Genomic DNA, 25,925 nt, shown 5'->3' on the forward strand with positions numbered 1-25,925 from the left:
ACCTGTGGAACTATTTTTTGGAATACACTTCTTAGGAAAGTGCCAGGAGAAGCAACAGAGAGAGTTCTTGGCAGTATGTACTTTAAGAACACACTGGGCAACCTTACCACTCCCCTTCCACGGCCTCCCAGCAACACCCCCCTCCTCATGGTGATCATAAAGTCTGATCCCACACTACCACCCTGTCTCCTTTTATTTTTATTTAATTATATCAGTAATAGGGGTTCATAGAAAATACCGATAAGGTAAAGAAAGTTAATTCTGCAAATTCACAACCAGAGTTAATACCTCTTAACATTAACATTTGGGGCGGGCGCGGTGGCTCACACATGTAATCCCAGCACTTTGGGAGGCGGAGTTGGGCCAGTGACGAGGTCAGGAGTTCAAGACCAGCCTGACCAACATGATGACACCCCATCTCTACTAGAAATACAAAAATTAGCTGGGTGTGGTGGTGGGCACCTGTAATCCCAGCTACTGGCGAGGTTGAGGCAGGAGAATCGCTTCAGCCCGGGAGGCGGAGGTTGCAGTGAGCCGAGAGCACACCACTGCATTCCAGCCTGAGACTCTGTCTCAAAAAAAAAAAAAAAAGTGGGTATATATCCTGGCCTTCCCCCTTCATGGGTGTGTGAATACATGTACAGGCTTGTGTGTGTATATAACTTGTTATTAACAACAAATACAGAATTATATAAACGGTTATATAACTCCTTTTCCACTGGAACATTTTCACATCAATAAATATATCATTTTAATGGCACAGTATTCCACTATATGGCTATAACATTTATTTAATCCAGTATTACTGAATATAACATCTTGCACAATGTTTGGTTTATTCTAAGAAACTCTTAGCATTACAATTTCTGGGTTAAAAATTATGTATATTTTTAAAAATCAGGAAAAAGATAATTACCCATTGGTATTTTGACATTTCTTCCAGCATGGGATGATTGCGTCTCCACTGATTTAAGTTTTATAACATTTTTCATGTGTAGGCCTTCAGTTCATTTGAGGGGATTTAATATCATTTTAGTCAACAATTCTTTCTTTCAACTACTTTACAAAAAAAACTTTTCTTGTGGGGATTTCAAGACTTAGGCAAAATGGAACAGTACAGAAACCCCCCTACCTGTGGTTTTGCTTTCCTTGTTTCAGTTACTCTTGATCAACTGTGGTTTGAAAACATTAAATGAAAATAACAGAAATAAACACTTTGAAGTTTTAAATTGTACACCATTCTGAGTAACATGATAAAATCTCTCACTGTTCTGCTCTGTCCTGGGTGGGACATGAATCATCCCTTTATTTTTATTTTATTTTTGAGACACAGTCTGGCTCTGTCTCACCCAGGCTGGAGTGCAATGGTGCAATCTTGGCTCACTGCAGCCTCTGCCTCCGGGATTCAAGCGAGTCTCTTGCCTCAGCCTCCTGAGTAGCTGGGACTACAGGTGCCTGCCACCACACTCGGCTAATTTTTGTATTTTTAGTAGAGATGGGGGTTTCACCATGTTGGCCAGGCTGGTCTTGAACTCCTGACCTCGTGATCTGCCCACCTTGGCCTCCCAAAGTGCTGGGATTACAGGTGTGAGCCACCGCGCCTGGCCTGCAATTATTTTTATTCTTAGAATATATCCCACTAGAGACCCGCAATGAAAATAGTTTTAAAATTAAAATAATTTTTTCTCTGATTATGCTGTCAACTTGATACACAGTTGGATTCATTTTTTCTTAGTGTTTAGGGACTTGCTTTTTGCTTTTGTTTTGTAGTTCTGTAAAATAAACACCAGTCCAAGAGCAAAAACTACACAAATGCATTCACAGTAGTTTTGCTGGCTTCACCCTGTTTCTTGCCCTGTGTAGGTAATGTCTTATTCACCTACAACCTTTCCCCCTTTTTTTTTTGGAGACGGGCTCACTCTTGCCTGTGCTGGAGCGTGGCGGCGTGACTTCAGGTCACTGCAGCCTTGACTTCCTGGGCTCAGGCAATCCTCCCACCTCTGCCCCCCAAGTAGCTGGGATTACAGGCGCACACCACCACATCTGGCTAATTTTTGTATTTTTAGTAGAGACGGGGTTTCACCATGTTGGCCAGGGTGGCCACAAACTCCTGACCTCAAGTGATCCACCCACCTCGGCCTCCCAAAGTGCTGGGATTACAGGTGTGAGCCACCAGGCCCCCCAAAAAACTATTGAAATAAAAATAATTATTTGAAAAATTAGCCAGGTGTGGTGGTGCATGCCTGTAGTCCCAGCTACTCAGGAGGCAGAGGTTGGAGGACTGCTTGAGCCCAGGAGGTTGAGGCTGCAGTGAGCCACGACTGTGCCACTGCACTCCAGCCTGGGCAACAGAGGAAGACCCTTTGTCCAAAGGGAAAATAAAAAGAATATAATTTTGTCTATGAGGTTTTTCCCTCGTGCCAGCTGTTTCTGAGAGAGCAAGAGCTGTTAAGAACACTCAATTAGGGTTTCTAGAGACAATGACTTTATGTGGCTGATATGAGTTAGATTAGAAGAATGGGCCGGGCACGGTGGCTCACGCCTGTAATCCCAGCACTTTGGGAGGTCAAGGCAGGCAGATCACTTGAGGTCAGGAATTCGAGACCAGCCTGGCCAACATGGTGAAACTCCGTCTCTACTAATAATACAAAAATTAACCGGGTGTGGTGGCGGGCACCTGTAATCCCAGCTACTCGGGAGGCTGAGGCAGAAGAATCATTGAACTTGAGAGGCAGACGTTGCAGTGAGCAGCGATCACACCACTGCACTCCATCCCCAGTGACAGCGAGATTCCGTCTCAAGAGAAAAACAAAACAAAACAAAACAACAACAACAACAAAAAAAAAAACAGAAAATTAACCTGTATGGGATGCATCTTCAATTTCTGTTCCTCAGTGCCTTAAGCGGAGGAAATAAAGGGCAGCAGCAGGAATTGACAGTGACCATCCGGGGAATTTGCTAGCAGTGTTGTTAGTCGTCGTGGTAGTAGGTCAAAAAGTCTCCAGCAGGCCCCAAGACACAGAAGTTTGGATGCACATATGACTTGGGCTAGTTTCTAGCCATCTGGAGTTGTGGGCTCCTTTCATAACAGAAACATGGAGATACCTCTGTGGCCCACATCCTTCCCCAGGGATGCAGGGGTAAGACTAGGCCAGATACTTTTCATATTCTTCAAGTCTTTCTCCCTTCTCTGTCTACTCAGCCATTTGGATCCCAATTGGTGCAAGGTTATTGATCTTCTCTGCCTGTCCCTAGCAGCCCAGTGTTCTCTCTCACCCTTGCCTCCCGTCACTGTCAAGATGCTGTCTTCCTGTCTACGGCTAATCCTTTCCTTTGGTTCTTTGTTGAAACTCCTCTAAACTTCTATCAGTTCTCCTTTTCTCCTGTTCTAAATTCTCCCTCTACGCTGGAATCCTCTTCTGATCTGCAGCCAGCCTGTATCAGACCTTCCTTTCCACACCTTCTCCATGTTCGAGGAACCAAGAATGGCACGGGTCAGAGCTAGAGGGTGGGGGGACAAACAGGACAAAAGGGATGTTCAGGCTTAGATTAACAGACCGCCACGCATCACAGATCTGCAAGGGGTTCCATCTAAGGCGGTAGGAAGGGGCTTTTGGAGTGATGTTGGCTAATGAATAAAACCTTTGTGGTTAAGCTAAATCTCCATTTAACAACTACTATTTTAGTGTAAAATCATGTGCAGTTAGGACTTTCTGGGATGTCAGACTGTCTTGTCAAGACTGGGATTTATAGTTGAAGAAATTAATACGACGATTGTAGTGGTCTGAGCCCACATGTGAACAGTTCATCAGAGCCCAGTTCACACGCATGAAACTGTTCTTCCTCACTGTAAGGTGGAACAGGACGCCATCCCGTAAAGGATGGTCTCATGCTGGTGCTGCCCTCAGAAAACTCAAGAGAGTTGAGCCCAGTTGCAAAATAATCCAGTACTTGGGTTTCCTGGAAATGGGCTGCTGGGAGAAAAGTCCTTGCTTAGGAACAAAGCTAGCTGGTCTTGTTCCTGTCTTCTCCCTCTTCACGTGGTCTCCTCTTCATTTTTGCAGCCCAGACACTTTATGGGTGCTTTGTACCAGGGCAAGTCAGACATCATGTCAGCACCCTTTTCTCTTGTCTTTCTTGCACATATTCATAGACAAATAGTTTGGAAATGGGCACTTTAGAAGCTAAACCTGGAATTCTGCCACCTGTAATACAGGCCAAGCAATGAAATCTGATAGGTGGAGTCAAAGGGGTCCACTTTTGGAGGTTCCTGTGTCACTTCTCCCCCTCCCAGATGTCTCCTCATCCTGAGTGTCATCACCAAGTTCTTGGGCCTGTACTTAAAGCCCTTCCTTCAAAGATCTGCTGTTCTAGGCCGGGCACAGTGGCTCACACCTGTAATCCCACTACTTTGGGAGGTCGAGGCGGGAGGATCACCTGAGGTCAGGTGTTTGAGACCAGTTTGGCCAACATGGTGGAACCCTGTCTCTACTAAAAATACAAAATTAGCCGGGCGTGGTGGCACATGCCTGTAATCCCAGCTACTCCGGAGTCTGAAGCAGAAGAATCACTTCAACCCGGGAGGCAGGGGTTGCAGTGAACCCAGATCGCACCATTGCACTCCAGCCAGGGCAAAAAGAGCGCAACTCCACTCAAAAAAAAAAAAAAAAAAAAAAAAAGTGCTGTCCTACCAGGGGCGGTGGCTCACGCCTGTAATCCCAGCACTTTAGGAGACTGAGTCAGGTGGATCACCTGAGATCAGGAGTTGGAGACCAGCCTGGCCAACATGGTGAAACCCTGTTTCTACTAAAAATACAAAAATTAGCCAGGCATGATGGCATGCGCCTGTAATCCCAGCTACTCGGGAAGCTGAGGCAGGAGAATCACTTGAACCGGGGAAACGGAGGCTGCAGTGAGCCAAGATCGCACCACTGCACTCCAGCCTGGACAACAGAGCGAGACACTATCTCAAAAAAAATGTGTTCTTGCTCATTTGCCATGGATACCTCAATTAGGGAACAGCTTTCAGTAATGACGGTGGTTGCCAAGAATCCCCCAGCTTCTCTTGGGCTGGCTGGCACCTATGGCTTGTTTCTACCTTTGTGAGGGCAGTGGGCTTGAGTCCTAAATGGGGGAGGGCAAAGGTGAAGCCACAGGTGCAGGGGCTTCTACTGGCCACACGAAGGGCCAGCCTGTCCCTGTCCATATTCATGCCAACCACAGCAGTGAGAATAACAGTAGGGGGGACAGCTGGACAGCTCCATGCCGTAAAACTTCAAAAGTCAAGTCAGCATCACTGAAATTGGAAATGAGAAAATGAGTGAGGACATCAGTGAGGAACACATTTTACATGGTACAGGGGGAATGTGGCTGCTCTGGAATCCCAACAGTTCACCATCAACTGCCCCCGCCGTGCTATGAACTGTTATCCCAAAAACCTAACTGGCTACCTCTGGCAGTCAGTGTTAACTCTTTATTCCTAAGATCGCTTGGACGCTTGGCAGCCATCTCTCATAGGCTCCCCAAGTCTATGAACACAAGCTTAGAAATGGAGCATGGCTTTTCTTGTCCAACCTTTGCACAGCACGTTGGTGGGAGGGCCAGGTCCAGCACCCACTCCTCAGTCCAAGGCTGATCCTGCCCTCCTGAATTCTCAGAACACAGGCATACCCTGTTTACTGAACTTTGTTTTATTGCACTTGAAGATACTCGTTTTTTACAAATCGCACATTTGTGACAACCTTGGGTCAAGCAAGTCTACTGGCATGTTTCCAACAGTGTGCTCACTTTGTATCTCTGTCACATTTTGGTAATTCTTGCAATATTTATTTCAAACTTTTTCATTATGATATTATCTATTATGGTGATCTGTGATCAGTGATCTCTGATATCACTTTTGTAATTCGGCACCACAAACCATGCCCACGTGGCAAACAATCTATAAAGGTTGTGTGTGTTCCGACTGCTTCATTGACCTGCCATTCCCTATCTCTTTCCCTTTCCTCTGGCCTTCCTATTCTCTAAGAAACAATATTGAAACAGGCCACTTAATAACCTTGTAATGGCCTCTAAGTGTTCAAGTGAAAGGAAGGGTTACACATCTTTTGTTTTAAGTCGAAAGCAAGAAAAATGATTAAGCTTAGTGAGGAAAGCATGTTGACAGTTACGACAGGCTGAAAGCTGGGCCTTCTGTGCCAAACAGCCAAGTGAATACAAAGGAAAAGTTCTTGATGGAAATTAAAAGTGCTACTCCAGGGAACAAAGGAACAGTGACAAAGTCAAACACCCTTACTGCTGATAGGGAGAAAGTTTGAGTGATCTGGATAAAAAATAAAACCAATCACAAGATTCCTTTAAGCCAAAGCCTAGTCCAGAGCAAGGCCCTAACTCTCTTCAATTTTATAAAGGCTGAGAGAGGTGAGGAAGCTGCAGAAGAAAAATTGGAAGCTAGCAATGGTTGGTTCATGAGGTTTAAGGACAGAAGCTGTGCCTGTAATACAGAAGTGCAAGGTGAAGCAGCAGGAGCTGTTGGAGAAACTGCAGCAAGTTATCTGAAAGATGTAAGATCCTGGATGAAGGTGGCTACACCAAACAACAGATGTTCAATGTTGATCGAACAGCCTTCTATAAGAAGATGTCATCTAGGACTTTTATAGCTAACGCGGAAAAGTCAATGTTTGGCTTCAGAGCTTCAAAGGAAGGCTGACTCTTAGGGGCTAATACAACTGGTAACTTTGCTGAAGGCAATGCTCATTTACCATTCTAAAAATCCTAGGACCCCTAAGAATGAGGCTAAATCTACTCTGCTTGTGCCCTAGAAATAGAACAACAAAGCCTTGGTGGCAGCACATCTGTTTACAGCATAGTTTACTGAATATTTTAAGCCCCCTATTGAGATTCAAATTATTACTGCTGACAACGCACCTGGTCACCCAAGAACTGTACAAGGAGATGAATGTTTTCATGTCTGCTAACAACATCCATCCTGTAGCCCATGTATCAAGGAATAATTTCAACCTTCAAATCTTTTTTTTTTTTTTTGAGACAGAATCTCACTTTCTTGCCCAGACTGGAGTGCACTGGCACAATTTCGGCTCACTGCAACCTCCACCTCCCAGGTCCAAGCAATTCTCCTGCCTCAGCCTCCCAAGCAGCTGGGATTACAGGCACGCACCACCACGCCTGGCTAATTTTTGTATTTTTAGTGGAGACAGGGTTTCACCATGTTGCCCGGGCTGGTCTCGAACTCCTGACCTAAGGTAATCTGCCTGCCAAAGTACTGAGATTACAGGCGTGAGCCACAGCACCCAGCCTCAAATCTTTTTAAGATATACATTTTTAAAAAAATTGGCCGGGCATGGTGGCTCATGCCTGTAATCCTAGCACTTTGGGAGACCGAGGCAGGAGGATCACTTGAGGTCAGGAGTTCAAAACCAGCCTGGCCAACATGGTGAAACCCTGTCTCTACTAAAAATACAAAAAAAGTAGCTGGGCGTGGTGACAGGCACCTGTAATCCCAGCTACTTGGGAGGTTGAGGCCGGAGAATTGCTTGAACCTGGGAGTGGAGGCTGCAGTGAGTAGAGATCAGGCCACTACACTCCAGCCTGGGTGACAGAGCAAGAGTCCATCTCAAAAATTAAAAAAAAAAAAAATTAAATTTCATAAGGCTATAGCTACCACAGATAATGATTCTTCTGATGGATCTGGGCAAAGTAAATTTTAAAGCTGGAAAGGATTCACCATTCTCGGTGTCATGAAGAACATTTGTGATTCATGGAAGGAAGTGAAAATATCAACGTTAACAGGAGCTTGGAAGAAGTTGATTCCAACCCTCACGGATGGTACTGAGGGTTCAAGGCTTCAGTGGAGGAAGGAACTGCACATGTGCTGGAAACAGCAAGAGAACTAGAAGTGGAGGCTGAAGCTGTGACCGAATTGTACAATCTCATGATCAAACTTGAACAGATGGGCGGAGCCGCTTCTTAAGGATGAGCAAAGAAAGTGGTTTCTTGAGATGGAATCTACTCCTGGTGAAGATGCTGTGAACATTGTTGAAAGGACAACAAAGGATTTAGATTATTACAGAAACTTAGCTGATGAAGCAGCAGCAGGGTTTGAGAGAACTGACTCCAATTTTGGGAGAAGTTCTGTGGATAAAGTGCTACATCAAACAGCATCGCATGCTACAGAGAAATATCTTGTGAAAGGAAGTCAATTGATGCCCCAAACTTCATTATTGTCTTATTTGAAGGAAGTGTCACAGCCACCCATACCTTCAGCAACCACCACCCTCATCAGTCAGCAGCCATCAACATTGAGGCAAAACTCTTCACTAGCCAAGAGTACAACTTGCCTAAGGCTCGGATGATCGTTAGCATTCTTTAGCAATAAATTATTTTTAATTAAGATATGTACACTGTTGGGCCGGGCACAGTGGCTCACGCCTGTAATCCCAGCCCTTTGGGAGGCTGAGGCAAGCAGATCACGGGGTCAGGAGATTGAGACCGTCCTGGCTAACACAGTGAAGCCCCGTCTCTAGTAAAAATACAAAAAATGGCCATGTGGGGTGGCACATGCCTGTAGTCCCAACTACTCGGGAGACTGAGGCAGGAGAATTGCTTGAATACACGAGGCAGAGGTTGCAGTGAGCTGAGATCGTGCCACTGCACTCCAGCCTGGGCGACAGAGCGAGACTCTGTGTCAAAAAAAAAAAAACAAAAAAAACCCACTGTTTTAGACATAATGCTATTGTACACTTAATACAGTGTAAACATAACTCACATGCAGTGAGACACTAAAACGTGTATGACTCATTTTATTGCAAAGTTCGCTTTACTGTGGTGGTCTGGAACTGAACCTGCGACGTTCCTGAGGTATGCCTGCACTTACTAGTGAGCTTCCCGTGGAGGCGTGAAGTGCCTCTTCCCGGAACTGCCGGGCATATTATCCTCCCCCTTTCCTCCACTTAAAAAGCAGCTTTGCCTGGCCAGGCTTGCAGTTCCTTAAGGATAGACTGGTCTTCTCTAGCTTGACATGCAGTCGATCCATCCCTCTAGCTCCGAGGTTCGGAAACTTCAGTGCGCACAGCAATCACCCAGAGGCCTTGCTGAAAAGGTTGCTGGGCCTCACCCCCAGGATTTCTGATTCAAGGTGGACCCCAAGAATCTACATTTCTAACAAGTTCCCAGATGATAGCTGATGCTGCTGGTCTGGGGACTACACTTTGACCACCGATCTAGTTTAGCTTCTCCCAAAGACTTTCCTGGGCAAAACCAGCTTTCTCAGAGTAGCTGTGTGGATCCAGGTCACACCTACCGCCTGTCTGCCCAGGTCCCTCAGAGCTAGGACTCAGCTGACACCTGGGATGAGGCAATGCCTAGTAAAATAAAACACCAAGACACCAGGATCTTGTTAGCTGGATATATTTCTGTTTTTTCTTTTTTTTTCTTTTTTTTTTTTTTTTTTTTGTCACAGAACACTGTTTGCAGTAGAGGAAACTGGCATTGCAGTCTGGTGGTATAATGGCTTGTCCACATAAACCAGTACATGTTCATCCTTTAGCGCAAAAAGCCCTAATGGCGCGTACCCTATTAAAATTCAGGACATCTCCAATATTCTCTCTCTCTGTTTTTCTTTGTCATCTTTTTTTTTTTTAAATAAACATTTTCAAGGTTTGTCCAAAAGAAGGCCATATAGGTTCTTGGCTAGCGGAAGACAATTCAGAACAGCTGTTGCACACTTGGACTGTCACCTTCTCCAGGCTGGCAGTTGATATCTTATTTTTTTTCCAACTCATTTTTATTAAAAAAATAAAAAAATGCTCCAACTATCAGCTTTACAAAATCTCTAAGGGAAACACAAGAGCAAGGTGCTGAGGTAAAAACACCTGAGGTAGCTTCTTCTGTGTGTTTTTCTCGTTAAAAAAATCTGTGAATTTAACGCCCTGGGCCAACAACCTTGGTAAATTTCTACTTTCCTCCACATTTTTTTTTTTTAAAGAAAGGAATCATTTTGCTGAATATTGATGGCTTATACACCAAAATGCAAAAAGACAAAATACATTCTTTCATTGTGGAATTTTTTCTTTGTTTGGTTGATTGGTTGGTTTGGTGGGTTCCTGTTTTCCTCTTCCAAAACGCTAGGACAAGTACCATTGACTCTTGTTCTTTTGAGTAACCAAGTGTAAGTTGAGGCTGGTTTGTGTGTTTCGCTTTTGTTCCTTTTGTGTGATGTGATACTCAGAGCACTGCTTTGCCTGGGGGGGGGGGGGTGCGTAGATACGGGATTGAGATGGAGGGATGAGGAAATTCAAAAGAATGGAGATGGAGAAGAAGGGGAGGGGAGGGAGGGGAGAGATAAACAGAGAGAGACAGAGAATTATATAGCAGTATGCAAAAAACCAGTTTAAAACCTGTGAAGCAAAGAGAAATGGGTGTATGAGCTAGACAGGCATGAGGAGTGACAGAGTTTCCTCTTCAAGGAGACGGTATCCCTTCTGTTGACATACACAGGTGATCCAGAACTGCCGTGAGTGTCCTTCCGACGAGATTTCCCTCTGGGTGAATTTTGTGCGGGTGGCCTCAAAGCTCCTCTCTACACCGTGAGACCTCCCAAAGACTTTATTCTTTAAAGTCTAGAAAAGCCTGCTTTCTCTTTAAAAAGAAAAAAAAATTAATAATTGATTAAAAATTGGAGTTAGTTGAGTTATTTGATATATTATTTCTAAAATATATTACCGCTGCAGGCACCCTGTGTAACCCACAGGCCACATATCTTAACATCTTCCCTTTCTAATATGTACACACATGTACAGAGACGATTTGCCACAGAAAAAGGGTGTGCATTTTGCTTGGCTTTGAACACGTTCACCTATGTTAGTTCAACTAAAAGGGATAGCGTCGTGGGAGTTCAGGAGAGATCCGAGTGGATGGTGAAGTGGATGGCTGAAGCCTGCAGAAGCCCTGGGGGGCGGGAGGCGGGGCTCGGTGGTTCTGGCAAACCTGGCTGACCTTCCCCGCCCCTCCTCGGCCCCTGGGGTTCTCAGGGCCTCGGCAGAGTCCCTGGCCGCCTCCGCAGACTTCTCATTCCTCAGATGGTCTTTGGTTTGCTCCCGATCTGGCTGGCTGCGTTTGGTCTCATTCTGTCAGGTGTTGGAAGGGCTACATTCATCCGTTGTTTTGCTGGTGCCTGTGGGAGCCTCACTTGCTGCGCTGTGAGGCGACTCCCTGAGGGTATTTCTGCTCCTGCTGCTTCACCTGTTGTACAATTTCCCTGATCTTGCGCTGTGCAGTCTGCAGCAAGGGAGAGAAGGGAGAGGAAGGGACAGGGGAAAAAAGGAACCCAGTTCTGAGGACAAACGGCAGGGGAGGCTCTGGGGCTTGGGGATGAAGGGTGGAATGCTCAGACAAGCATCATCTACCCACCCCCGCACGTTACTCCAGGCCCTTTTCTGCCTGGAAGTAAGTGGCAGAGGTCCCCCCTCCACTCCCACCCCAAGGTCCAGGGTAAGGGGATGGGACTCCGGCAGCTTCCAGTTCACTGCTGGACGGACAGGCCAGGAAGCAGAAGCAGGGCGCCAGCAACTGGGGGCCGTGCAGAGTCAGATGCTACACTTGGGCTCCCGTGCTGCTCCCGCCCCCGTTCTACAGCGGCTAGGAGGGCATGAGTGTGAGGGACAGGGGAGGGAGGGAGGAACTGAGCCCAGATGCTCTACCCTGAACAGCTGGAGCACACACATGAACCCCCACCTGTCCCCTCACCCAGCCTAGCACTGTCCCTGCAGGCAGCTCCCTGCAGACTGAACTCCTGTAGGAACAGGCTGTTCAGACACATTCCCAGGGCCCTGAGGAGCTGAGCTGGGAGACAGCAGACAGGGGCGTGGCCAGGGACTCTGACTGCAGAAGACTCAAGTGAGAATTTCAAAGGGCACTGGGCGGGGGGTGCGTGTGTGGGTGGCGGGGGATCCACAGTGTGGCAGCTGCCCTTTCCTGGACCATCAGGTCTCAGCACAGGCACAGGTGTTGGGAGAGCAGGCTGACAGCTTAGACAAACCTTCAGTGTCTGCTTACACCAAGTACACTGTTTGTCTTCACTGGTTTAGGACAAAGACCAGGAACGCTCTCCCCAAAACTCAATTTACAAAAGCATCAAAGAGAAAGAGGCCAGGTGCTGGCCTTTCCCAATGAAAGAGAAGCGGCTGTGTGGAGGTGCAGTATTTTGATAGGGTGGGTTGTGGTGAGACCGAAGAGGAGGAGGAGAGAGAAATGCCGTGAGCATGTAGTCTTTCACAGGGAGTGCTCAGGCTTTCAGGGAGGAATCCAGAGGGTGGGCTTGCCTGGCTCCCAGTGGGGAGGCTGGGACTGAGGCCTGAGGAGAGAGGGTGAGGGAAGCTGAGGCCATGCCCTTAAACACTGCAGGGGGCTTGGAACCACATGGCTTTGCTTAAGCGCTTAACTCTTCACTCTTCCCCAAGCTCCTAGCATACATACCTCGGGGATGACAGTGGAGAGAAGTGTGAAACAATGTCCCCTGCCCCGGGGGCCATCCCTAAAGAGCCAGGAAGAACCAGGGAGAGGTTCCATCTTGGCGTGGATTGATGCTCAGGGCCTGTGGCCACCTGACAGGCCACCAGCAGCTTAGCAGAGAATTGAAAAGAGACTTGCAGGAGAGACAGGGCCCTCACAGCACAGTACCTGGCTAGCAAAGAAGTGCCCGATAATTCTGACGATCACTTCCTCATTTTCATCTGGCGTTTGGTCACGAGGCACGATGACTTCTGCACTGGTTAAGTTCTGCAGTTCGTTCACCTGTGAAGGGAGAAACGGCAACGGGTTGGATAGGTTCCCTCCCCGTCAACGTGGTGGGCTCAGGACGGAGTGAGGGGCCAAGAGGTGGAGCAGGGGAAGGAGGGGGGCTGGACTCTGCTCTCCTTTCCTTTTATCAAGGACACCCCGGGGGCTCCTCTGCCCCTGAGCACATGGGGCCATGTTGGTTGGGCCCTGACAGGCTCAATGACAGGGAGAGGGAGTCCAGCCACAGATTCCTGGGGCTGCTTCTGAGGCGAAGTTCTCTTATTCTGGAGTTCCCATCAACGCAGGCCTGCACATGCTCACAGAGACCCCAGGCTTTCCCATACCCCCCCACTCCCCACCCCTACCCTGTAAGATCATTCCTCCTGGACATGCTGTCCTGGGTGCTGACCACGAGCCCAAACCTCCTCTTGGTTAACTTTCCCTGCGAATCAGCCCTGCTGTTCCCTCCTCCTCGTTTTCACTCCTGCCGCCAAGACTTGCTCATGCTGTTCCTACCCTTGGATTGTTGTCCTCTCTCCCGGCCACTGGATCCCACCCCAGGCCCACCTCCATGAAGCCTCCAGCCCATGCTGAGCTCCTCGTGTCTCCAACCACTGCCTGCATTGTTCATCCTCCCCGCTGCCTCACTGGGCCTGCTTCCCAACAGGACTGCACGCTTCCTGAGGGCTCAGACCCCGTCCTCTGGCCCTCTGGCCTGATGCCGAGCTCACAGGCGGGTTCAGCATGTGCTTTAGGGGAAACCTGAAAGTCTGGAGGATGCAGAGAATTCAGTGACTGGTTCTGAAATAGCTAAACAGGACACCCAGGGGCTCAGGATTCTACTCCCTGCTGATCCATCTGCTTTCTTTTGCCTCCTACATTCCAGCTCCGCCTAAAGCGCAGTGTGTGCCCTGGAGCGCCGACTGCATTCTGGAGACGGGGAATCCTTTGATTCCACACCGCTTCGTTCTTTCGTATAAAGCTGACTCATTACATCTAGAACTTGGTTTTGAATTCCGTTTAAGAGTTTCTATGTAAAGAGCTTTACAACAGCTGGGTGTGGTGGCTCACGCCTGTAATCCCAGCACTTTGGGAGGCCGAGGCGGGCGGATCACCTGAGGTCGGGAGTTCGAGACCAGCCTGACCTGACCAAAATGGTGAAACCCCGTCTATACTAAAAATATAAAAAATTAGCTGGGCATGGTGGCGGGCGCCTGCAGTCCCAGCTACTCAGGAGGCCGAGGAAGGAGAATCACCTGAACCAGGGAGGTGGAGGTTGCAGTGAGCACAGATGGCACCACTGCACTCCAGCCTGGGTGACAAGAGCGAAACTCTGTCTCAAAAAAAAAAAAAAAAAAGCTTTACAAAAACAGCAAATAACACACATATACATATATACACATACACACTCAGGACTCAAGAGACCCCCGCCTCCCCGCCAAGTTCCTGCCACCCAACACTGCTACTTTGCCAGCAAGCCTGCACTAGGCTCTACTGGAACTTCTCAGTGGTCATCTCCCCACCCAGGTCAGTAAGTCACATTCCAGAACATACCTGGGTCTACAGACCACCTGGCTCATTCCAACAAGCTTCAAAGTTAACGCTCTGGCACTTTTCAAACTACACTGTGTTTGTTCCTGCACCTTCCAGTAGAAAATGCAGATGATCTTTCAAAAAACAATCTCCTCCTTGCCCACCCTCCTACTGCTAAACTAGCTCCCCTAGAGCCATGTTTGGGAAACAGCCAGAAGATAGAGCCTGTGGAGGGGGAGTTAGGGACTGGAGGCATCTGTCAGGAGGGCTGAGAGTCAGAAGAGAGTGCAGGGCACAGGCCTGAGTGAAATCCAGGGAAGGTGGTGGTCTGCCAAGTGGGTTAGCATCTCTCTCGGTGGGAATCCCCCCTTTCCAATTTTAATGGCTGCTACATGTGGGTATAAAGGGGGCAGAAGACAGCCTCTCTGTTTTCAGGGAGTGGAGGCCTTCACTGACCATGGAGTCAAGATGGGTATTACTGGGCACAGGACTGTGGTATTTTTGGTGCTGGGCTTACAGCACCACGGATTGGGGGCCCTAAGTTGTGGAGTGAAGCCGATGACATTTTTGTCCTTGGGATCCTCATGCCTCAAAGGGCTCAGATGCCAGGAGAGCCTTAGTTTATCTGCCAAAGACCCTGACTGTACATTGGGACAGAAGGCGCCAAGGGGAGACTGAGGGAACTCAGGCAAGGCCAGAGCGGGGAATCTGACCCAGGTGATGAAGCGAGCCCGGAGCACACTTACGGTCTTGCCACCTTTGCCAATCACCCGGCCAGCTGTGGAAGAGGGCACTCTGATATGCGCTTCCAGCTTCACTTCTTCTTTGGGGTTAAAGAAGTTTTCCTCTTTCAGTTTCCCAAAGATCCGTCCCTGGGCCTGAGAGAGCAAGACATGACTAATGACTCTCAGTCAGCCAGCAGCCGGCCACTTCATCAGTGCTGCGAAGGGCACTGGAGAGTCCAGACAATGGGTCAGTCCCATTCCCACACTCCCTGGGACACACAGGAAGCTGCGTGCCCCAGCCTCCGCTCACAGACCTGGGGGGCGCTGCTCCCGCCACGTCAGATGGCTGCACTTTGAAAAATGTGGATGGGCATTCATGTTTTGGTGGTTTGCACAAGACTGCCTCCTCTAGGGAGCTTTCTGTGTGTCAGGGCTAAGGGGATGGGTGAGGGGATGCAACTCTATGTCTTATTTCCATATTATCACCTATAAAGATTTGCTTGATTGACTGAATTTGTTCAGGGGATTCTTATCCCATCACCACAGGGTCATACCCCTGGTTAGTAAGGATGGAGGTGATGGTGGTGGTAATGGGATTTGAGGAGCCTGATATTGTTTTAATTAAAAAAATTTCTAATGGAGAACAGGGTCTTGCTCTGTGCCCAGGTTGGAGTGCAGTGGCACGATCATAGCTCATGTTTTCATTCTTTTTTTTTTTTTTTTTTAGAGATGAGGTCTATGTTGCCCAGGTTGGTCTTGAACTCACGGCCTCAAGTGATCCTCCCACCTTGGCCTCCCAAAATGCTGGGATTACTGGTGTAAGCCACTACATTCAACATAATCTTTCTTTTTGATGTCTAACTCCAAAGGCAGAGGAGCCAAGAACCTATCTTTCTTTTTTTTTTTTAGTGAAAAAGAACCACAGCTTACAATGTTCTTTTTTTTTCTTTACTTAAAATACTGAGATATAACTTACATAATCTGAGAGTCACCGTTTTAAAGTATACACTTCAGTCCAGGCGTGGTGGCTCACACCTCTAATCCCAGCACTTTGGAAGGTCGAGGTGGACAGATTGTTTGAGGCCAGGAGTTCAAGATCAGCCTGGTCATCATGGTGAAAACCCATCTCTACTAAAAATACAAAAATTAGCCAGGTGTGGGGGCATGCCCCTGTAATTCCAGCTACTCAGGAGGTTGAAGCACGACAATCACTTGAACCCGAGAGATGGAGGTTGCAGTGAGCCGAGATCGCACCACTGCACTCCAGCATGGGTGACAGAGGGAGACTCCGTCTCAAAAAAATAAAAACTGAAAAAAAAAAAAATATATCAATTTCAGTGGTCAGTATGTTGTGCAATCATCACCATTATCTATTCAGAACATTTCCACACTATTCCCCCAGATAAAAACCTCATAACTATTGGGAGTTAGTTCCAACTCCTCCTATTCTCTGGCAACTGCCAATCTACTTTCTGTCTCTAGGGACTGGCCTATTCTGGACATTTCATATGAACGAAATCACTTCACACGTGGCCTTTATTTATTTTGAGACAGTCTTGCTCTGTCACCCAGGCTAGAGTGCAGTGGCATGATCACAGCTCACTGCAGCCTTGAACTTCTGGGTTCAAGTGATCCTCCTGCCTCAGCCTCCCAAGTAGCTGGGACTACAGGTACATGCTACCACACCCAGCTACTTTAAAATTTTTTTTGTAGAGATGGGGGTCTCACTGTGTTGCCCAGGCTGGTCTCAAACTCCTGGGCTCAAGCAGCCTTCCTGCCTTGGCCTCCTAAAGTGTTGGGATTACAGGAATGAGCCTCCACACCTGGCCTATATGAGGCTTTTGGTGTTTGACTTCTTTTACTTCGTGTGATGGTCACCCATGTTGCACCATGCATCAGTACTTCATTCCTTTCTGTGGCTGAATAACATTCTGTTAAATGGATATTCCACATGTTGTCCAATACTGAGTTGAAGGGTTACTGTTTTTTGTTATCTTTTCCTTTTCGTTAGAGATGAGGTCTTGCTCTATTGCCCAGCCTGTTCTCAAACTCCTGGGCTCAAGGGATCCTCCTGCCTCTGCCTCCCCAGTAGCTAGAGCTACAGGAGCATACCACCACCTGCTGCCCCTGGCTGAGGCTATTGCTTTTGAGTGGTTCCACATGTGTGAATTTCCTCTTCTCAGCTAAATTTTAAATATTTTTAATGATAAGGATTGTACTTTTATAAATAAATAAATATGTGTTTCTCACTTTTAGAAAGCTCGAGTTATAATTTTCCTAGGGAAGAAAAAAAGGCAAAAACAAAACAAAGCAAAACACACCTCACCAAAAAACCTTCCAACAAACCATGCTACTTCCCCTTACACCTGTGTTAGTCCTCCATAGCTTGAAGGGTAGACATGACTAAATGAGCCGGAGACATCCATCCTCAAAACCAGGGCTAAGGGATCAGAGGTGCCAGAGCAGGGGCCACTCGAACTGGGCACCAACAGATGATCTACTTTTCCATGAGAGGGAAGGGAAAGAGGGCTTCCCAGCAGAGGGCAAACATGCAGAAGAACAGCCAGGGATGACAGGGTGAGCCTGAGCTTGGTGGGCAGCAGCAGGGAGGGAAATGGAGGCTGGGCCTCCAAAGAAGAGCCTTGAATGTGCCTCTGAGGTGGCTGCTCTGTGCCCAGAGCCTGCAGGGCTGAGGTGTCCCTTGGCACTAACCTTGAACTGGGCTTCCGGTGGCCCGGTGATGATGACCATCCTTTCGCTGACGTCTGGGCCTTCCGCAGGGGCAATCTGTGGTTCACAGGAGAGGAAAACGCTGATGCTCGGCTGCATTCCCCAGCCCCTCTTTCTTGTCTAAGTGGACGGCAAGCATACCAGCAGGAGGTTCCAGGTCTTGCTTCTGCCGTTACCCCTGGTTCTGTCTGATGCCATGCTGCCTCCACCCTGGTCTTAGGAAGTCATGACTGTAATGCCCAGTATCAAATTTGGGTTTTTGGCCACCCAGGGACAGTCAGACACAGGCCAGTAGTTACTGCCTGTCCCTGTCCTGAGCACCAGCTGTGATGGGCCTCCTCTCATTGAGCCAAGTTTTAGGAAATAACCAGGGAGTCAAAAGCTCTAGGAAGAGGGATGTGTAGGCTCTGCCAACCCACCTAGGGCCCAAAGGGAAGGAAGGGCAGGTCCACCAAGGTGTTAAATTGGAGTCGAGCTTGCAGCAAAGGTATCTCTGGTTCTAATTCTCAGCTCACAAGGGTAGTCAGCTGGAAGTGACAATTGAGTTAGAGTATGTGTGGTCAAGACCGCTTCCTCCACGGCAAGTGGGTCATAAGTAAAACAGCAGCAGAGCAGAAATGGAGGCACGTTGGTTCTAGTCCTGGCTCTGAAAATTCCTCCCCTCGCTGTGCCTCCATTCCCTCATCTGTGAAACATAGGGGCTGGGCCCACCAAGCTCCAAATCTCCTCTCACTTTCTTGCCCAGGCTGGAGTGCAGTGGCGCGATCTCAGCTCACTACAACCTCTACCTCCTGGGTTCAAGCGAGTCTCCTGCCACAGCCTCCCAAGTAGCTAGGACTACAGGTATCTGCCACCACACCCAGCTAATTTTTGCATTTTTAGTGAGATGGGGTTTCACCATGTTGGCCAGGCTGGTCTCAAAGTCCTCCAAAGAAGAGCTCAAGTGACCTCAAGTGATCCGCCCACCTTGGCCTTCCAAAGTGCTGGGATTACAGGTGTGAGCCACTGCGCCCAGCTTCCTTCTCTCAGTTTCTGTGAGTTCAGGTTCTCTTGTAACACGACTCAAACCCTGGGCTGAGCAGGCATTTTTGTTAGAGAGATCTTTGTTACATATTTGTTTCTGCATGCCCTGCTTTATTAAAAAAAACTTCAGCTAAAAATAAATACAAAATTAAAACTTATTAACACATTGTAGCAAAATTAAATGTCATTAAAAGTAAAATGAGGCCAGGCGTGCAGTGGCTCACACCTGTAATCCCAGCACTTTGGGAGACCGAGATGGACAGATCACCTGGGGTCAGGAGTTCGAGACCAGCCTGGCCAACATGGTGAAATCCCATCTCTACTAAAAACACAAAAATCAGCCAGGAGTGGTGGCGCGTGCCTGCAGTCCCAGCTACTTGGGAGGCTGAGGCAGGAGAATCACTTGAACCCAGAAGGTGGAGGTTGCAATGAGCCGAGATCAAACCACTGCCTGGGTGACAGAGCGAGACTCCGTCTTAAAAAAAAAAAAAGTAAAATGAGTGCACATCAGGCATTTAGGATTGTAAGGATGAGCCAAGACCGAGGTCAGAACACACACATCTCATAAGGTCCTACACACCTGCCCCAGGTTGGCCACAGATGCAGTTCTAAGCTAAGAGCAAATACGAAACAAGAAACATGGTCAATGACAGGGACATCATGTTCTAAGGCAAAACCAAAGTAGGGATTCAAGGGAGGCACCAATCCTGAGTCTAGGTCTCGAGAAAGATCTGTTTAGTGAAATGGGATTTACCCTCGGTGTTGCATTTGTGCATGGATCACCTCTGGACCACTGTGTCACTTGAGATCCTCCGGGAAGACCTCCACCTCCAGAAGGTTCAATTTTGTTTCCTCTCAGTGTGTGCTATAAGCCAGCTTCCATCCATGGGCCTCAGGATCCAGGGTGGCTGCCCCTGCTTTATTGTGAGTACATAGCCAAGACATGCTCAGACCCTGTCCCGCTCTGGAAGGAGGGGCCCCTTCATGGGATCTGCAAAGAGTTCTCTGGCTGTGACTCCTTGGTGGATGCGGATAAATGTGAGACTCAGGTGATCAACAGCTGAGCTTCCTGGGGGACTTCCTTTGCTGTGGGCAGCCATTTCTTGGCAGGGCCTCGGCCGAAAAACACGGATCTGAGTGTGTCCAGGGGTCTGACACCCTCTGGCAGATCACACAGAGCCTGGCCATTGAGACTTCTGGCAGGATCCCTTGACTCTACTTTGAGATCCATACCTGGCATTAAACCTGGTCCTTATCTCTGAGTAAGCAAGAGAGAGCAGATCATGGCTGTGTGGTTCCCAGCTCCTACCACCACCCAAACCGAGAAGGGCGAATGGCTGATTCATGATTCACGCTGACCAAATCAGTTCTGCCATCACCGTCCACTTCGTAATGACTTGTGGCTGCTTTGCTCAGATTCTGAAAGAAACCTCCGAGGGCTCTACTGCCTGGCACTGGCCAGCCTAGTCCAGAAGTCGGAGGGCTACTTGTGCACTTGTGCAGTTTTGGAATGTCATTCCATGCACACACTCCCTCTAAAGGGGCAGGAATGAGGACCCCATCTTATGACTGAAGCAGATGGGACCCAGAGATAACTGCCAAGATCACAGGGTAAGCAGGGCTGGAGTCAGGATCTGGAATTAGGTGTCACTGGCTGAATGAATTTTGTGCAGCATCTGGAAGCCTGTTCTACAGGAAAGGCAGGTGACGGGAGCTCAGCTCTCACCTGCAGCCAAAGCATCTCTTGGAGTGCATCACCCAGATCTTAGCTCAGCCCACCTCCTCTGGGCGCTCTCCTCCCATGGATGAGTGTGAGGCTCTCTCCCTGCCCAGCAGCATCAAATGTGCCCCTCATTGTGGCCCCCAAAGACTGGCAAAGTAGAAACTAGGGGTGGGAGAATCTCTGGAGTTAGTGAGATCATCCATCTTGCTTTAGAGACAGATGTTTTCAGGGACCTGTTGAGACAAAGGGAATCTAGCAAAAACCAGATTGATTTTTTTACTTTTATTTTTTTGAGACAGAGTCTTGCCCTGTCACCAAGGCTGGAGTGCAATGGCGTGATCTCGGCTCACTGCAACCTCCGCCTCCCAGGTTCAAGTGATTCTCCTGCCTCAGCCTCCCAAGTAGCTGGGATTACAGGCACCCGCCATCATGCATGGCTAATTTTTATATTTTTGTAGAGATGGGGTTTCACCCTATTGCCCAGGCTGGTCTCCAACTCCTGACCTCAGGTGATCCACCTGCCTCAGCCTCCCAAAGTGCTGGGATTACAGGTATAAGTCACCACGCCCGGCTGACTGATTTTAAAAATTTGGAAATTTCCTTCACAAATATTTGGCCTCCCTGGTTTATGCTATGGAGCGAGGCAGGGGCTGGGGAAGTAGAAGGTTGCTGGAAAAGATTGTTGGCCCAGCATAAAAAACATTGTCTGGACCTTCCTAAGCTGTAGAGTCCATTCTGTCCTCCTGACGCAGCACTGCTGTCTTTGCCCATCACAGAGGCCAGGAGCACAGTGACACGTCACCATTCGACCTTGCTGGGACCTGGGACTGTGGGATGCAGCCCATGCGACTGATCTCTTCTTTTCCTAAAGGCCCTGCTGGGAATGATTCTGGCATCACAGTTAGGTTGATATGGTGGAAAAACACACTAGACCAGAAACAGGATAACCTGGGCAAATCTTGGCTCTCTCATTCTTCAGCTTTGTGGCCTTGGACAAGCCAGTGAAAACTCCCTAGGCCCCAGCTCCTCATGGGCAATAGTAAATGAAGAGGCGCTGTAGTGGTGAGCCCCAGGAGGTGCTGGATATCCCAGAAGTCAGCAGAATTTCCATCTCAGAGGCAGCCCTGCCACATGTGTGCCTTGCCCATGTCCCGGCACTCTCTGAGCCTCACTTTTCTCTGCTGAACAAGACGGGGATTGGATGAGATGGTCCCTCAAGCCCCTTTTAGTTGAAACGGTCCTTTCTCCTGCCGGCATCTCAGACTGCAGGACTGAAAGCTGGGCAAGGCCCAAGGGCTGCAGCCAGCCAGGGGGTCTTCCACACTTTACTCAGCCCACCCTCAGGGGTCAGGCCAGCACCTGCCTATCAGTGCCTAGGCCGGGGTCTCACCTGCAGCAGGACTGCTGGGCACAAGGGCCCCCACACCTCAGGGCTCTCATCCTGTCTGTCCACTCTGCAGATAAGATAAATGAGGTCTGAGAGGGAAAATGATTCACCAAAGTGAAATTCTCTGATGGTCTCAGTGCAACCCTTGTTCTGTACTACTCAGAATATTTTGTTTTTGTTTTTCCTCTAGCACACTTGCTGTGGGAGAAATTCCAGCTCTTCCTGGGGAGAAAGTGTAAGCATTCTTTCTCTCCAAGTCATGAGACTTCTCATTTGGAATTCTGGGTTGTCCCATGGTAGCAAATTATTTTGCGTAACAACAAAAACTCTGTTTCCGAAAATGTTTCATGAGGCTTGGGACGTGCTCAGCATTCTGCCCGTGAGTCAGAGCTGATAGCTGGTCTTGGAGCAGGACCAGGGGCAAATAATCCTCCCCTTTCAGCTTCTCTGATGATTCTCCACACTGTGCTCAAGGAGGCAGGATGTGGGCCTGGAGCTGCAGCCACGTCTGCATTCGCAGCCTTTCCATAAGTCAAGGACCGTCCTTCCTGAGTTGCTATGCTCAGGCTGGGTTGCATATCGGGTTAGACCCTCAGCTTTTGTTTATGATTTTATCATTGCTTTTCAAAGAGTTTTTTATCCACATTATTTTCTGGTAGTTCAGGGCCTGTGAAGTGGAGACTCATTAAAGCACCGCATACTGGTACCTGCTAAGTTATCACTTCACCGCAGTCCCTTCCCTTAGCTTGGGAAAATCCTCAACCTTTCTTTATCTTCTTGAGGACAACAATGATAAAACAAAAAGGACTGGGTTGGGTTGTCTGCTACTATTTTTTTCTAATTCAGTGGTTAGCTGAACAGTAAAGGAATAAGAAAAGGAAAGATGAGAGCGGACGGGAATAGTCATGGGGCAAATGTTCTAGATCTCTGTGGGACTCTGTCTCTGCATGGTGTGGCGCTGCCTGGGACTGAGAGGGAACAAGGGCCGTGGGATGAGAGGAGGTGGTAGAAGGGCCACAGGGCCGTCAGGAGCAGCCTCACCTTGATAGAGGCTCCGGCGAATCTCGCCAGCTGTTTGATGTGTGCCCCCTTCTTCCCGATGATGGCGCCCACAGCCTGGGTTGGGATGAAGAGATTCACAATCTCCTGCTCTGGATACTGGGAGGGCGAGACAAGAAAGAAGACATCATTCCAACCAGGCTTTCTCCTCCAGGCACTCAACAGGTACCAAGCACCTTACCATGAACCCCATGGTGGGAAGGCCCCGCCACCCAAGGAAATGGCCAAAATGGTGCACAGGATCCTTCTGCGGCCTGCGGCTCTGCAGGTGTGAAGCCTGAGGAAGGGACCTGAGCACAGGCAGCGCTAGTGATAATCAAGGGCATCCTCCTCTTGAGCTTCTCAATTTGTTGGATTCCAAAAGCTGTCTGATCGCAGGTTTTCTGTCTTATACAAATGTGATCTGTATCTCTCCTGTGTCTTCACCCAAGAAATGAAAACAGCTATTAAACATACCTGGCCTGAAGACGGCCCCAAGGCATTCTGTTAGAGGGAATGGAAAGCTGCCCAACACATCTGGTATCCGGAGAAGCATTTTCACAACTAAACTTGACCTGACCCAGCTGCACGGTGACTGGCTCCAGGAAGATGGGGTGAACCATCCCTCCTGGGACCCTGTGACAAAAGGCAGAGGCTCTTGGGCAAGGCTGCCAGGGGTCCTTGCAAGTGGGGTCTGTGCAAATGACATTCTCATTTGCTAGACTTTGTTCAAAGATCTTTGGAAACTCTGCTATTCAGTGCCAACAGCACGTGCTCATCTGGCCTTCTGCTTGCCCATCTGCAGCAGTTCCTGCGACCTGTGAGGTGTGCGAGCATCCACAGGTGCAACAGCAACGGCCTAGGCCTCTGCAGAACCTCAAGAGCACTCGGGTGCTGGGGAGTTTGGCGTGCTCAGGCTTTGAGGTGTGTCACTCCCAGGACAAACCAGAACCACAGGAGACAAGATCTGCATTGTGAACATTCACTGGCCACCAAGGGCCAAGTGGGCCTAGCCCCAGGAGAAGTGGCAGGTGCGGCTGAACTGAGGGGGCACTTACAGAGTGATGATGCGGGAACGGGCCAAACTGGTGATGGGGGTACAGGCTGGAGAAGTATCCGGAGTGGGTCTGCAGCATGAGAGAAAGAGTCAGTGGGCGGGTGCTCTCAGGGACTGTCACTGGCCTCAGGGAGGCCAGATTCCCAACATGCGACACAGGCTCTCTGTGGCATCAGCTGGCTCCACTGTCGTGTCTACACGCCTGTCCCTCTGTGTCTCAGATCTCTGCTCCACTTCTCCCACTCAGACCACGGAATGCTTGGCAAGATGTCCCCTGGTTGCAGTAGCTCTCTGGGCTAAATGTTCATCATTTCTAAGCTGAGTCATGCCTGAGGCGTCCTAGGAACATACCATGGGTGTGAACACACACATACACACATACACCCACTGGCACTTGCACCCATACACTCTTAACCTGCCCTCGGGTGGAGAGGCGGGGCCAGTGCCTTCCGTTTTCTGGAGAATGATGAGTCGTAGATGAAAAAGAACAGAGTGTGCTGGACAATACCCAAGAGTTATTCAGAACAAGCAAATGTGTTCCTGGGCAGATAGATCAGTCAGCTCCATCAGAGAATTCTAGAAGGAATGGAAAGAATCCTGAGAAGGGAGAAATGTCAAAGGAGACTGAGCTTTGGGAATCTGAAATGGGAGGATCACTTGGGTTCAGGAACTTGAGACTAGCCTGGGTGACACAGAGAGATCCCATCTGTATAAAAAATAAAAATAAAAAATTAGCTGGGTGTGGTAGTGTGCACTCTGGTCCCAGTTACTCAGGAGGCTGAAGTGGGAGGATCACTTGAGCCTAGGAATTTGAGGCTGCAGTGAGCTATGATTGCACCACTGCACTGGTGCTATGCCTGGGCGACAGAGCAAGGCCCTGTCTCCATAAGAAAAAAAAAAGAGAGAGAGTGACTGAGAGAGGAGAGAAAGAAAATGAATGTGGAGAGAGAGGAGCAGGGAACAGGAGGGCAGATATGGACAGAAAAAAAGTAGAGCTATTAAGAAAATAGAAATTTAGAAAGTAGCTGCTTTTATTTTATTTCTTTATTTTTGAGACGGCATTTCACTCTTTCGCCCAGGCTGGAGTGAAGTGGCGCGATCTCGGCTCACTGCAACCTCCGCCCCCGCAGGTTCAAGCGATTCTCCTGCCTCAGCCTCCCAAGTGGCTGGGATTACAGGCACCCCCCACCACGCCTGGTTAATTTTTTGTATTTTTAGTAGAGATGGGGTTTCACCATGTTGGCCAGGCTGGTCTCGTACTCCTGACCTCAGGTGATCTACCCGCCTTAGCCTCCCAAAGTGATATGATTATAAGTGTGAGCCACTGCACCCTGCCAAGTAGCTGCTTTTTACTGAATAGGTACTGTGTACTAGATACTAACATAGATATTTTGTGTCTATTCATAAACTCTTTTAATCCTCACAACAGTCCTATGAGAAGGAACTATGTCTGATTTGATACTTTTTTTTTTTTGAGATGGTGTTTCACTCGTTGACTAGGCTGGAGTGCAGTGGCGCAATCTCGGCTCACTGCATCCTCCACCTCCCGGGTTCAAGCGATTCTCCTGCCTCAGCCTCCCAAATAGCTGGGATTACAGGCATGTGCCACCAAGCTCAGCTAATTTTGTATTGTTAGTAGAGACAGGGTTTCACCATGTTGGTAAGGCTGGTCTTGAACTCCTGACCTCAAGTGATCCACCCGCCTCAGCCTCCCTTTAAAGTGCTGAGGTTACAGGCGTGAACCACCGCGCCCGGTCTGATATATTCTTACAGGCAGAACGCTGACCTGAGTCAGCAGAATTGCTAGCTGTGCTTTACACAAGGCTGGGTCAACACTGACATTGCTGTTCCAGGAAAGGAAGTGAACAGCTCTGGGCACCATGGAACCAATTCCCACAGGCCCACCCTGCAAGATAG

At 48.6% G+C, this 25,925-nt stretch overlaps 1 protein-coding gene across 36 annotated transcripts in view, besides 3 other annotated features; it reads right to left on the minus strand.

The window, feature by feature from the left end:
- Positions 7,766-7,984: a silencer, noted in NCBI's record as "fragment chr3:185359885-185360103 (GRCh37/hg19 assembly coordinates)". NCBI's record gives its function as "represses an EF-1alpha promoter that drives an FKBP-Casp9 reporter gene in an ReSE screen in K562 erythroleukemia cells {active_cell/tissue: K562}" and the evidence as "EXISTENCE:reporter gene assay evidence [ECO:0000049][PMID:32094911]".
- IGF2BP2 (insulin like growth factor 2 mRNA binding protein 2) overlaps positions 8,799-25,925 on the minus strand; it is a 181,913-nt gene continuing 164,786 nt past the window's right edge. For 21 of the 36 annotated variants that reach the window (XM_047447325.1, XM_024453316.2, XM_047447317.1 and 18 more), the window contains 6 exons: positions 24,010-24,078; positions 22,955-23,071; positions 17,763-17,837; positions 15,072-15,203; positions 12,694-12,807; positions 8,799-11,292 (listed from right to left, as the gene is read on the minus strand). In XM_047447325.1, coding sequence (XP_047303281.1) covers positions 11,200-11,292; positions 12,694-12,807; positions 15,072-15,203; positions 17,763-17,837; positions 22,955-23,071; positions 24,010-24,078 — 600 coding nt within the window. In that variant the 3' untranslated portion in view covers positions 8,799-11,199. Of the gene's footprint in view, positions 11,293-12,693; positions 12,808-15,071; positions 15,204-17,762; positions 18,308-21,916; positions 22,581-22,954; positions 23,072-24,009; positions 24,079-25,925 lie in introns of those variants that run through there. The other 15 variants (XM_047447321.1, XM_047447316.1, XM_047447319.1 and 12 more) reach the window with 6 other exon arrangements.
- Positions 11,434-12,321: an enhancer, noted in NCBI's record as "NANOG-H3K27ac-H3K4me1 hESC enhancer chr3:185363553-185364440 (GRCh37/hg19 assembly coordinates)". NCBI's record gives its function as "activates a minimal SCP1, AML or CMV promoter by ChIP-STARR-seq in primed H9 embryonic stem cells {active_cell/tissue: H9 hESC(primed)}" and the evidence as "EXISTENCE:reporter gene assay evidence [ECO:0000049][PMID:30033119]".
- Positions 17,789-17,987: a silencer, noted in NCBI's record as "fragment chr3:185369908-185370106 (GRCh37/hg19 assembly coordinates)". NCBI's record gives its function as "represses an EF-1alpha promoter that drives an FKBP-Casp9 reporter gene in an ReSE screen in phorbol 12-myristate 13-acetate-treated (for megakaryocytic differentiation) K562 erythroleukemia cells {active_cell/tissue: K562(+PMA)}" and the evidence as "EXISTENCE:reporter gene assay evidence [ECO:0000049][PMID:32094911]".

This window comes from Homo sapiens, chromosome 3 (genome assembly GCF_000001405.40).
Source record: "Homo sapiens chromosome 3, GRCh38.p14 Primary Assembly".
NCBI classification, from domain to species: Eukaryota; Metazoa; Chordata; class Mammalia; order Primates; family Hominidae; genus Homo; species Homo sapiens.